At 36.7% G+C, this 12,527-nt stretch overlaps 1 protein-coding gene across 15 annotated transcripts in view, besides 1 other annotated feature; it reads right to left on the reverse strand.

Moving 5' to 3' along the window:
* Positions 1 to 5,430, reverse strand: part of CRISP2 (cysteine rich secretory protein 2) — a 37,569-nt gene extending 32,139 nt beyond the window's left edge. For 6 of the 15 annotated variants that reach the window (XR_926302.4, XM_011514843.4, NM_003296.4 and 3 more), the window contains exons 1-4: positions 4,685 to 4,753; positions 3,711 to 3,814; positions 2,495 to 2,531; positions 341 to 415 (exon numbers count right to left, since the gene is read on the reverse strand). Coding sequence is in view for 14 of the 15 variants with exons in the window: in XM_011514843.4 (XP_011513145.1) it covers positions 341 to 406 (66 nt within the window). In the remaining variant the exon portion in view is untranslated. Of the gene's footprint in view, positions 1 to 340; positions 416 to 2,494; positions 2,532 to 3,710; positions 3,815 to 4,684; positions 4,754 to 4,983 lie in introns of those variants that run through there. The other 9 variants (NM_001142417.3, NM_001439002.1, NM_001142408.3 and 6 more) reach the window with 6 other exon arrangements.
* Positions 11,272 to 11,472: a silencer, noted in NCBI's record as "peak5839 fragment used in MPRA reporter construct". NCBI's record gives its function as "represses an SCP1 promoter by STARR-seq MPRAs in K562 erythroleukemia cells {active_cell/tissue: K562}" and the evidence as "EXISTENCE:reporter gene assay evidence [ECO:0000049][PMID:32103011]".

The following is a 12,527-nucleotide window of genomic DNA, read 5'->3' on the forward strand; positions in this document are numbered from 1 at the left end:
CATGGATGCAATATTAAAAAAATGAGATATTTCCTTCTTTCTTTGTTCTAAATGTTTGAAATCTAGTGAGTTTCTTACCATCAGAGTACATTTTGCCTGTTCAAACCTCATTTCAAGTGTTCAGTAGTCACATGTGACCGGTGGCTAGCATACACATGCAGAACACATACAGCATAACCTTGGCCTTTCATCTCAATAATTGTGTTAAGTGCTCTGAGAACTCTGAACCAGTGGAAACTCTGACATACCAAACTCTCTTACCCCCCTTTACTTTCAGAATAGCCTGCCATACCACAAAGTTGCTGGATAGCTCTGAAAAGATTTTCCATTTTAACCTTACCTTTCCTTCTGCAGGTAAAGATGGAAGCAGCACAGTAACCAGAAACAACACCGGTAGTAAAGCCATTGCTGGAAACTAAGTCAAGAAAAACAAAGGTCTGCATTGAAATATGTAGTTTAAAAAACTTCTAAGAGGGGGAATACCAATATAATGATCTCGATTATCTCAAAGGAACTGTGATTCCCAGATTCATTAACAATGGAACAAAAGAAGAATTGCCCTATGGTACTAGTAGAATCATAATGAGGCCAACCTTGTCTTTGATAGTGACAATAAAGAAAAAGCTGAAGAACTCTACTGATGCCCTTGAGGTACATCTATAAAAGAGAGAGACCTACTCCCTTCTTTCTGCCTACTTCTGCTACCCTTACGCCATCAAAAAGAAAATAGATTCCTTAATAGTTAATTATAGTACTGACATTCATTCTTCATCTCAATTTTTGGAGGAAAGTTTATTTTCAATATGTACCATCTCTCAATTGGCTATTCTATACGAAAAGTAAAACGGTTTGTCCTTTTATTTATACCAGACTCTAATTAAGATGACAAGGTTGTGATTACACAGATATGGTTGTGCAAATACTTTATTAGCTGTTATTTCCCTAATGGAGTAACTAGAAGTTATGTTTATTTTCTTCCTTATACTTGTGAATATTTTCAAATTTCTCTGTATACAAAAAATACAATTAATGCATTGAAGATATAGCTTATTCAAGTTTACTCAATCCATTATTTGGTAAGAAGATTGTTTCGTATTTTCATTATCTCCTAAAAAGACACTCAGCATTTTGTTACCCATGTTGTCCTTTCTCAATATGTCAAAAAGTCTCACGTCCTTCAGATGAAACAACAAGACCACTTAGTTTTGGAAACACTCACCTTTCTGTCATTAGTCATATAAATTGTTTAATTTGTAAATTAAAGTTATGCTGCCTAGATTTGTTTCTTGTGTGTGAGACTGTCACTCCCAAATTCTTGGAAAGAAAGAAAATTCCGAACAATTTATCTGTGATGCTTCTCAGGCTTCACTTACTGTAAATAGTGTATCATTGATACTTGTTCCATCCATTGCCTTTATGCTCAATTATGTGCAAAAAAGGGATGAGGGATGAACAATTATTGACGGTTCATGGAAAATGATATACAATTTCACTCCCATACCTTACTGGGTATTACTATTTATATTGTATGGATGATGTAATTGAGGCTTAAGACAGTTAATTAACCTATGCCAATGCTACGTTCTTAGGTAATGTCAGAAATTAGTCTTCATCCAATTATGACTTCGAAGTCAATGACTTTGAAAGAGACATTGACTCATTGAAAGAGACACAGTTTTAATTGGGAAAAGGCAGACATTGTTGCAGCACAATGGAGACCCTTTATTTTTACTTTAATAATTCCCTTATTAATACATAACTGTATATGTTAATAGTAAAATCATTAATATGCCAGCTTATACAATATACTTAAACAGCCATACTTTTCCATTTTCCTATTAAAGGTAGTTCTAGTATAATTGTCTCAAGTCACAAACATGAGAATTAATTCCATTACTTATTTTTAGAATAAAATGTAAAAAATTTTTACATATCAAATTTTTTTGTGTGTGTGCGTAATATTGCTGTAATTTACCTTCTTAACTGTAAAAGAATAAAATTAACTTGAGGTCATTCTCAATACAAATTTATTAAAGTTTTGAAAATCATGGATAGGCCAGGCACAGTGGCTCATTCCTATAATCCTAACATTTTGGGAGACTGAGGTGAGAGCACATAACTTGAGCCCAGGAGTTCAAGATCAGCCTGGAAAGCACAGTGAGACCTCATCTCTACTAAAAACAAACAAACAAAAACAAAACATAATTAGCTGGGCATGGTGGCAAGTGCCTGTAGTCCCAGCTACTCAGGAGGCTGAGGTGGGATGATCATTTGAGCCTAGGAGTTTGAGGCAGCAGTGAACTATGATCACAGCACTGCATTCCAGCCTGGGTGACAGAAAGAGACCCTGTCTCTAAAACAAACAAACAAACAGACAAACAAAAAACAAAAAAATAAAATCATGGGCAAACTCATTAATCATTTTACCCTTGACAACATAAAAATGATTGGCATGATAAAATATTCACATTAAAATCAATGATTTAACACTTACTGTTGGTTTTCTGAGCAGGATGAAATATCTACTTTATCTTTAGAAAGAAAGAAGGTGGAAGGTTTAGAGCAGCATATATATTACACATATTCCTGTTTTGTCAAACTCTGGTTTTGTTAAATAAATCTAAGTCAACAAAGTTCTGAAGTAGTATTTTTCATACCAGTAACCTTAAACTTCATTGTCAGTTGTCTGATAATGCTTTTGACATTATTTGCTTCCCACATAGTTTTTAACATGAGTAAGTAAATCATGCCCTCCCTTTCTAATCAGTTCTCCCTTCTCCTTAGGCACACGATAATCTGCATGTGGCCTTTTTGGACTAGTATTTCTATATTGACAACCCAAGACAGGTTAACTACTGTGAAGGTTACCAGGATTCTGCCTTATAGCTGAACTCTCATAGTTCAGCTGTCTATGATTTTTACTTTCTAATTATCAACTACCTGTAGCTTATTGGTTACGGGTGCATTCTTTGGAAACCATCAGGTCTGGGAAATCTATGCCAAGCTTCAGTGTTTTTCTTATGTAAAATGTAGATTTTTATATCACAGGTTTTTGCTTTGAAGACTGGAAGGGACAATGTATGTAACACCTCTAATACAATAAACACATTATGCACATAATACAAATAAACGGAAATTATTCATGTTTTTATTATCTTTTGCAATGTCTGCTAGTTTGTTGAGCTCATAAGAGCTTTCTATAAACATATGCTGTTTGATTGAATTGCTAATTACTAAGTGTTTAAGAGACATGTGTTTCCTTCCAGGTGTTATAGGAAAATACAATCAGTATAATCTAATTCGAGATTCACATGTTCAAGGCCTGGTTCTATTAGACACCTTCTGGCTGACTTTAGGAAAATGCTCTAACATCTGGGCTGTTGTATCCTCATCAGCTCATTGAAAGCCATACACAGGAGCCTGAAGAGTTTTGTATAGCTCAATCACCCAGTGTATGCATCTGATGAGCCAGAATTCTATAATAGGCCATGATGCCATACTCTCCTCTTTGCTGCTCTTCTCTCTCATAACCTCAACCATCTAACCTATACTCATCTTCATTGAGTCAATGAAAGCAATGTCACTGTTGGTGAGAGTATATTCAAGGAAAAATATTTTTTTCTATTCCATATAATTACATTTTATTCCTTTAAACCCATATTGATATATAGTTGAAAAGTTGGCTACCATTTTTTTTCTTTGCTACTTACTAATGGTGAAGTACTGTGCTCTTTCTTGCAGGTGTTTTAAGATCAGGATGACATGGTTTTCCTAGAGTGTCTTTAGGAGGGCCATGGTGTATAATTTTATAACCCTAGAACAAGGAAACAAAATATTTAAAATAAAGATGTGAAGAATACCCTTATAGATGGTATCTATAATCTTTGTCACAAACTTAAATTTTGACTCAATTGTTTAGTATTGTTTCTAATAATTTACTGTATTTATTTGATTTCAGCGTTAAGACCATATTGTCCTTCTGAGGTCAGATTGTATTTCAACGCCCTGATATTTCCTTCAAACACTAACAAAAAAGTGGACTTCTTGAAGTTCAGTAACTACTAGTTGGCTAACTTGCTTGGAAAATTGCAACCTTTTTTCAAGACTCCCAACCCCTTATCTAGGACTTCAACCCATTCTTTAAAAGATCATTTCCATAAGCAGTGTCCCACATGGTAAGTATTAACTACGTGGATTTGGGGGTAACAGCTTTGTCTCTTCATTTTTTTTTTAAATTCTGGAAGCCAATAGATGATATAAAGTCCAGCAGAGTCAATGACCCCAACTCTAATTGTTATTACAGTTTCTAATAACTGTACATTCAAAACATCAATTAGAAACTAAGAGTCTTAATTTGACTTCGTAAAAAGCAGATTGAGAAATGACTTCAGGCTTCTACTATGATTCAATGGGTCTTATGTACTTAGAATGATTTCTCTTTTAAGGTAGGTAAAGAGTTTCAATAGACTAAACATAGAGAAGCATGTTGAAAGTTATGGTAGGTCGGCGCTAAGCAACAAAATTGAACTCTCAGTCTGCCCGGCATTAGCTATGTGCCCTCCAGATGCCGGAAGAGGAGCGAAGGAGGATCAGAAACCCCCTCACCTCAACGATGGTTCTCTCCCCTGTGCTTCACCCCACCTCCCCGTCCCTAGCCATTTCTAGTCTCCAATCCGGGTCTTACATTTACCCTGGCTCCAGAGCACAGACCTTCCTGCAGTTGGGCCGGCGCGTTGCGGCGTTGAGGAGCTGCGGCGCGCCCCTCTCACCGCGATTGTTCACTTGCCAGGCGCCACGTGTGGGCGACGTCACTGGGCTTTATGCTTTCATCGCCGCTATCTGCCTACGTGAGCTGCTCTCCTCCCATCGCCCCCGCCTCCCCTACTACGGAGAAAATCTTGCACGTTTTCCCTTGTGAAAAGCAGAGTTCTCTTTTTCTCATTACCACCAGTTGATGAGGAAAGAAAATGTCTGTTCGCATACCTGCGCCGTACTAGGAGGAGGAGGGAGGTCATATAAGGATTCGGGTTGCCCAGGGGGTGGCTTGAAAAAGGAGGCGTTCGCATTCAAACAAGAATGCCTGAATTAATGTAGTTCAATTTAAAGAGCTAATTAGGAGTCCACAGGTGCTTAAGTTTGCAGTGCGCTGCCAGTGTCATGCCAACGACGCACTCCAGTTACACAGGTTGTCAGTTTCAGGCTCCCTCATAAACACTTCATGTTCTTGTCCCTCTTCCCCGTTGGCAACAGTTTTATGGTGAGAAAATTCACGAAGAGTAACAGGAACAACTCTTATGAAAATACGCAGAACTCCTGACCCAAGGCTACTGGCTGCAAGTTTAGCATACGTATCAAGCATGGGTTAAAGACATGTTTTCTCTCTCAGAAGGCGGATGAGTAATAGGTGCATTTTCTTCTATTCACAGTTGTTTTCAAAGCGAAAAGGAGTGAATTCGCTTATGACCTAGAGGAAGAGAGATGGGTCAAAAGATGTCAAGCCAAGGATTAATATCCGTCATACCTTGGTTCTCTGTAAGCCATGCAATAAGAGGCTTGAGATTTCACCAACTCTGGAGACTCACTTGGGCACAACTGAAACTATAACAAACTTGGTGCTCAGTGCCATTTTCCTTTGGCAGTGTTACAAGGTAATTTCAAGGGATCAGCACACAGACATTGTTTTAGTTTTCTTTTGCTGCTTATTTCAGTTCATGCAGCACTGACTAAAAATTTTGGAATTTAGACTGCTTAACGCTTATATCTACATCCAATATCAAAATTCATTACTGACAGTTTGCCTTTCTAAATATTTATGAAATCTAGTCCTCAATCTGTCCCTCACTTCTATATTCATGTTTTCACCATATCTTGCTTAAGTTATTAATTGGACATTTCAAATACCTATATGCACAAAATCTCTGCCTACCTATTTGTTCTTTCTTTCTAGTGCCGAACAATTCATTCTCAGCACTATAATAGTCTATCATTTACTGTGAATATCTTATTTTTCATTTTTGGAGAAGAGTCATTCCTGTAATTATTACTTGTTCCCATATTCACATTGATGATATCAGAATGAGAGCAACTTGAGCGCTGTGGTGCCAGATATTGTTGGTGAACCTGAATTTCAGAAATTGGCTATGTCTGTCTTGATTATTGCTGTATCTCCAAAACTAACACAATACCAAATATAGGTGGTAGTTTGTAAATATTTGTTAAGTGAGTAAATATTGACCCGACATAGATTCTTAGAAAATACAGAAAAAAGGACATAAAATCTCTTTCTTCTAAGACTCATAGTACTATGAGAGAAAGGAGTATGTATATGAATAAGTAAAGAATACTATTAGGTAGTGTAGTTTAATGCTAAGTAGGGCGACCAAAAATATATACAGTAATTGAGAGTTCTGTGAGTTGATATGATCTGGGTAAAACCTAGGAAAGTTTTGACATTTGAACTGTTATTGAATAATGCGTATGGCTTGATTTGAAGGGAGAAAGAGTTGAAGAACAAAAGCAGATAAATCATTATATCACAAGGCATATTCAAGACAGAAAGACTGTTGAAAAGGTTGGGGAAACTTTGTATAGAAGTCTAAGGAGATTTGCTTCTCTGTATAACATGGGAAAGTAATTTCATTGACATTTTGGAGGGTTGGGAAATTCTTTGATCAAAAGAATGTTTCATAAAAGCCACCTGATCTCACTGCATGGGGTGATTTACAGAGCTGAGAAATTGATGGCAGCAAAAATAAGTGTGGTAACAATTCCCCAGATTAATTTTGTAGTAGTAGAAATAGGACAAAAGGGTGGAATATGAAGAGATTTTTAAAAAGTGTTGATAGATTTTGTATGAAGGGCAAATCCAGAATAGAAGACTTGTAAGTTTGGTGCCTGAATGTGTTGGAGAGCACATGGAAAGTAGATCTCCATTACTGAGAGGAATAGTACAGGTACTTCTAAGAACATTGCCAGGAGTCCTTTGCTTTTCTAGAAGGGCATCATTTGTTAGTTCCTTTTTCTATGGTTTGGAGTAAAAGAAGCAATGATTAGAAATGCATTCCTCATAGTAGGCTCTATAGCAGATTCTACTGTATAGGATATAGTTAAATACCAGACTTTAAATTCTCTTGTGAAAATTATGATAGAATTGGCTGAATAGAGAAGTATCTGTGCAGCTGCTGGCACTTGTGGCCTATGGAGAAATACATCAGATGAAGACTATAGAGATTTAGCTGTAGAGGATAAATGAAGAGATTGCTTAGTTAAGTAAGTAGACTCTTTAGCTCATTTTTTGATCTATTTAATTTTAGGTGGTTTGGTTTATGGGTAACCTGGGTAAAGAGCATACTCCAAACTCTTGGTATTATCCTCCCGATAGTCATAATAATAGTTTCCCTGGTACACTGTATTCTCTCAAAGGTTTTAAGTGCTTCCACGCAGCCATTGCTAGAATGTCAAATGGTCTCTCTTCAATTAGAATGACAAGAGCTGAAAGAAATGTGTGACCATGAGGACACCATAACCTATGAATGATGTGGTGAGACCAGAAACCCGAAATAATGGTAACTGAGAGTGGTGCTAAGGCCCTAAGTTTTGGTCACACTCTCACCTAAGTGAGAACCTTATCAAAAAGGGGGGAATTTTCTTTTTAAGCAAAAGCATAGGAGGCAATTGTTTTGGACTGAGTTCATGCACTAGGCCCCAAAAGACCAAACCAAACCAAACCAAAACAGAGTCGCTTGTGCTAAGACATTAAGGAAACACATAGATCCTAGAAAAGACCAGGTTTTGTTTTTCTCCTGCAAATTTCCATAACAAACATTGCTGAAAGAATAGGTATCCACCCCCTAAAATTCCCATTAAATCTTTAACCCAATTCATTTCCTCTCGCCTAGAGACGATTAAGCTTTAGATGATCATGTGACAAGGGTTCCAGCCAGTTCCAGGTGAAGATGCCTCCCCTGGCCATCAAGGAGCTACCCTTCCTTCACTAGAGAGAGCAAGGCAAGAGGTCTGTGATCCCCACACCAGTCATAAAGCATTTACAGAAGAAAGACCATCGGTTGTTCCACCTCCCATAAAGACTTATGGAGATCACATCTTTCAGGGGGAAATTGAGGCAGGAGAATAGGGCCTAGAGGCAGAGAACGAAAGGACTTTCTAGAACTAAATCAAGGGGAAACACTTCTTCTAGAAACACTGTATTGGTACAGAAAAAATTTCTCAAGTGAGCATGTGTACAACTCCATTAAACACACTGTGCATGAGGCTGCTCCCAAGTGCTAGCAGGCTACTGCACATGCAGATGGCCTAATCCAAGGGAAGAGTAATGCAAGACCCTGGAAGTATGCCAACATATAAAACCCCAAGTCAAAAGGTCAAATTGTTAGAGGAAAGAATGGCTACTCCATAGGCAGAGCAGCCCCAAGGGCTGCTGGTTGCCAATTTTTATGGTTATTCTGATTATATACGAAACAAAGGGTGGATTTTTCATGTCTCCCCTTTGTAGACCATATAGGGTAACTTCGTGACATTGCCATGGCATTTGTAAACTGTCACAACCCTTGTGGAAGTGTAGCAGTGAGGACGACCAGCAGTCACTCTTGTTGCCATCTTGGTTTTGGTAGGTTTTAGCTGACTTGTTTACTGCAAACTGTTTTACAAGAAAGGTCTTTATGACCTGTATTTTGTGCCAAACTCCTATCTTATCCTTTTACTTAGAATGCCTTAACTGTCTGGGAATGCAGCCCAGTAGGTCTCAGCCTCATTTTACCCAGCCCCTATTTAAGATGGAGTTGCTCCGGTTCACATTCCTCTGACATTTCTCCTCTCCCTTTTATAAAAGAACCCTTAATCCTAACAGTTGCAGAAGGATGAAGATTCATCTTCTTTAACTTCTTCAGGCTGAATGGGGCAATGATATTTCTGTGTAACTATTAGGGTCTCTTGTGTTCAGGGTACAGAGGAGTTCAGTCAGAATGCATTAGTATGATGAAGGCCATTCATAACTCTTAAGTTCCAAGAAAAGGTGATATCTGGAAGATTTTTTTAAAAAGTTGAGTAAGTTTATCCTCTATTCCTACACAAAGAGCACAACAGCAAGATATTTTAAAACAGTAAAGCAGAATAAGCAAAATTGTCCTAAGTTAACTAAATTAGAAGGCTTTCCATGAATTGGGCAACTATTGAAACCAAGCTGATATGGGGTCACTAGCTGATTCCAGTGTGCCCAGAATTGGAATATTGATTCATATTTTTACATTACCCATTCCTTTATTTTCTTCTGAGCAGCAGCCAGAGATTGCTGGTTGGTTCACAGGAATAAGCAGGGTTAGTCTAAATTGCAGAAAAAAACTCAAAACAACTGATGAGACTAGAATCTAAGAGCAAGTACACCATAGTTCTTGAAACATAATTCTCTCTCCAGTTTCCCATTTTTACAAAGGACAAATAATGGTAAAACTGACTTGCTTTACTATGCTTGGCTGGATTCTTTGTATAAAGTATAGCAAGAATAATTATTTTTCATGTAAGCTTTTTAAAAATTGGCTTTGATGGAACTCTGTTTCATAAAAGGAATCTCAGATAAGGTTTTTTTAAAGCCAAGCCCAGCCATGGGTTTTTTACCCTCAAATACCTAACAGTTGGCTAAATTCCTCTACTCTTGAGGTTTCAGGACAATTTGGGGCTTTTAGGTCTGTCAGAAAGTGACATTCTTTACTTACCAAAGGTGAAGAACCCTGTAGAGGGACTGTGTAGACAAGGTATGAGGCCAGTTTTCTGAAGGGGCCTTTATTGGCTTTACTAGTCAAGTTTGATTCCTTAAAGGAAAGCACAGCCTTCCAGTCAAAGCTTTGATAAAATAAACAATTTCTCCAATTGTGTCCTGTTGCAAAAGAAAACCGATTCTTATTGCACTTATGCAAATAACTACATTGCCATAAATTAAGAATACCCACAAACCATTTTCAAATTCTGGATAAATCAGTAGAGAGAAACAAATGTGCTCCTGATTTTGTTTATAGAAGAATACTTTACCTAATTGTTAAAAGCTGTAAATAGCTTAAAATAAAATTTTCTAGACCCTGAAAAACAAAACAAAGGATTAGCAACATTTTAAGCACAGTCAAAAAGATTATTTTTTTAGTTTAGTCCATGCAGTTAACTCCTGTTCTGAAAAATAGTCATAAATATTTCAGCTCTTCATCAGAATCCTGAAAGTGTTTTCCTCTATTCTAATGTCACAATTTCCAAAGATATCAGGAAACCTGCATTTAGCACCTGTGAAAGTCCTATAGTTGATCATAAAACCACCTTTTTAAGAGGGTTAAAACAAGGCAATAATTGTCTGTGGATGACAAAATGTTTTAGGGCAGCCACAGTCAAAAACATGATTGACAAAGAAATTAGGTTACCTTTGTGGTATACAATGATTTTATGTAACAATTATTAATAATATACACTAAGTCATATCAAAATTATAGGAGATTTTTATAATTTTGGAACACATACCAGTAATATACTAATACAAATACAGCCCAAAGAAGGCCAAACACCATTTCATATTTGACAATGCTTCCTGTATGACTTTTATATCAAATAAACCAAATTTCACTTCTGCATTAGTGTACTATTAATGTTAAATCCAATTTTTAATAAAACCTTATAGACAAATCTATCCAATTTTAATGTCTGACCATAAGGTAATATTCTCTTAAATCTTTTATAACTCTTTATAAATTTTTGTTAAATGGTAGATCAGTGCTCTCAGAAAAACCTGTTGTGCTTTTATTCCAATGTTTAATTTTTAGAAAAACTGAAATAATACTGCTTTAACTTTAGTCAATATGTTCACACCCAGAATTTCTTTTACAATTAATTTTTCACAAACCTTTCACAACTTGCTTAAAGCTTCAGCTTCATCTGAACTCAAACAATCCTTTACCCTTTAGGCAAAAAACAAGTCACATTCCCATGACTTCTTATAATTTATTTTAAACTGAAAACACATTTTACTTTCTTTGTACACCTTTCATGTAAAACTTTTTCTTCAGTAGTCTCAATTACATGTTATAATGTTAACTCTTATCAACGTTTACTTATGGTGAAAACCTTGGTAAGTTAGGATTTTAATTGTTTACTAAATGTAGAGCCTAGGATCCAGATAGAAGTGCAGATAAGGTCTGACTTTTTCCAATGTCTAACTCCACATGTCTCAGGCTTTACCTAGCTGTAAAGTAGGCAAGTTGTACAGTTAAGAGTCATAGTGGCATTTTATGAAGCATTTAAGAGGACTAGCCACCTTTAAATTGCACATTTCTTTCATAAATTCTATTTTATAAATTCTTTCATGACTTAACCAGACCATCTACGAAGTGCTTGGGCTTTCTGACTTGTCCTAAACATCCCTCTTTTTAAACAACCAGTTATTTTACTTTAGACAAGAATTTACCATACAAGATATTTTCTTATATAAAATCTCTTTTCTTTATAACCTTGTTTACATAGATAGGGCACATGGCTAATTTAACATGTGCCCAGGCTTTTTGTTTTTTTGTTTTTTTTTTTGAGATGGAGTCTCTCTCTGTCACCCAGAGGGGGGTACAGTGGTGCGATCTCGGCTCACTAGAACCTCCATCTCCCGGGTTCAAGCAATTCTCCTGCCTCAGCCTCCTGAGTAGAGGGAGTACAAGCACATGCCACTATGGCCAGCTGATTTTTTGTATTTTTATTAGAGATGGGGTTTCATCGTGTTAGCCAGAATGGTCTTGATCTCCTGACGTCATGATCCTCCTGACATCATGATCCACCTGCCTCAGCCTCCCAAAATTCTGGGATTACAGGCGTGAGCCCCTGCGCCCAACTGCATGTCCCCAGGCTTTATATAGAATCTAATGCTCCAAAATAAATTGAACAATTTTTGAAAGTTGAAGAAGCAGTTTATGACCTTAAAGCAAACCTAATATCTAACCTGTATAATTTAGACCAAATGTTTACATTTTGAAGATATTTTTATTTTACCAATAATGTTTAAAACTATCTTTATTTCCCAAAGATTACTTAAGTCACATGAACTAAATAAAAGATATTACACTTTTTACTTTTCTGACAAAATATTCTATTTGAGCTCTTATATTAAACCAATTAATTAAAGCTCTTTTATATTACACACACAACATACATAAATACATAGACAGAATAAGAAAGGAGTCATTCCCTAAGCTGGGAATTGAACCCTGAACCTGGGCTGCCATTGTGATGGTGGAGACCAAGAGAAAGTACTGCCACATGGTTACAAGGTGACATTCCCAAGGACATACAAGACAAGATAGAAACCTCATCCAGGTTTTTTTTTTTTTTTTTTTTTTCAGGGACTTGCAGCAAAGTTTGTAACTGACCAGTTTGCTGGGTCATCTTGAACAGTGGGCTTATGGGAGTACTAAGCCCACATTCTATCCTAAGGTACCACTCTTTTATGACAGAACAACACAAAAAAACACACAAAGCACACCATATTTATTATA

The sequence above is a fragment of the Homo sapiens genome, chromosome 6 (genome assembly GCF_000001405.40).
Source record: "Homo sapiens chromosome 6, GRCh38.p14 Primary Assembly".
NCBI classification, from domain to species: domain Eukaryota; kingdom Metazoa; phylum Chordata; class Mammalia; order Primates; family Hominidae; genus Homo; species Homo sapiens.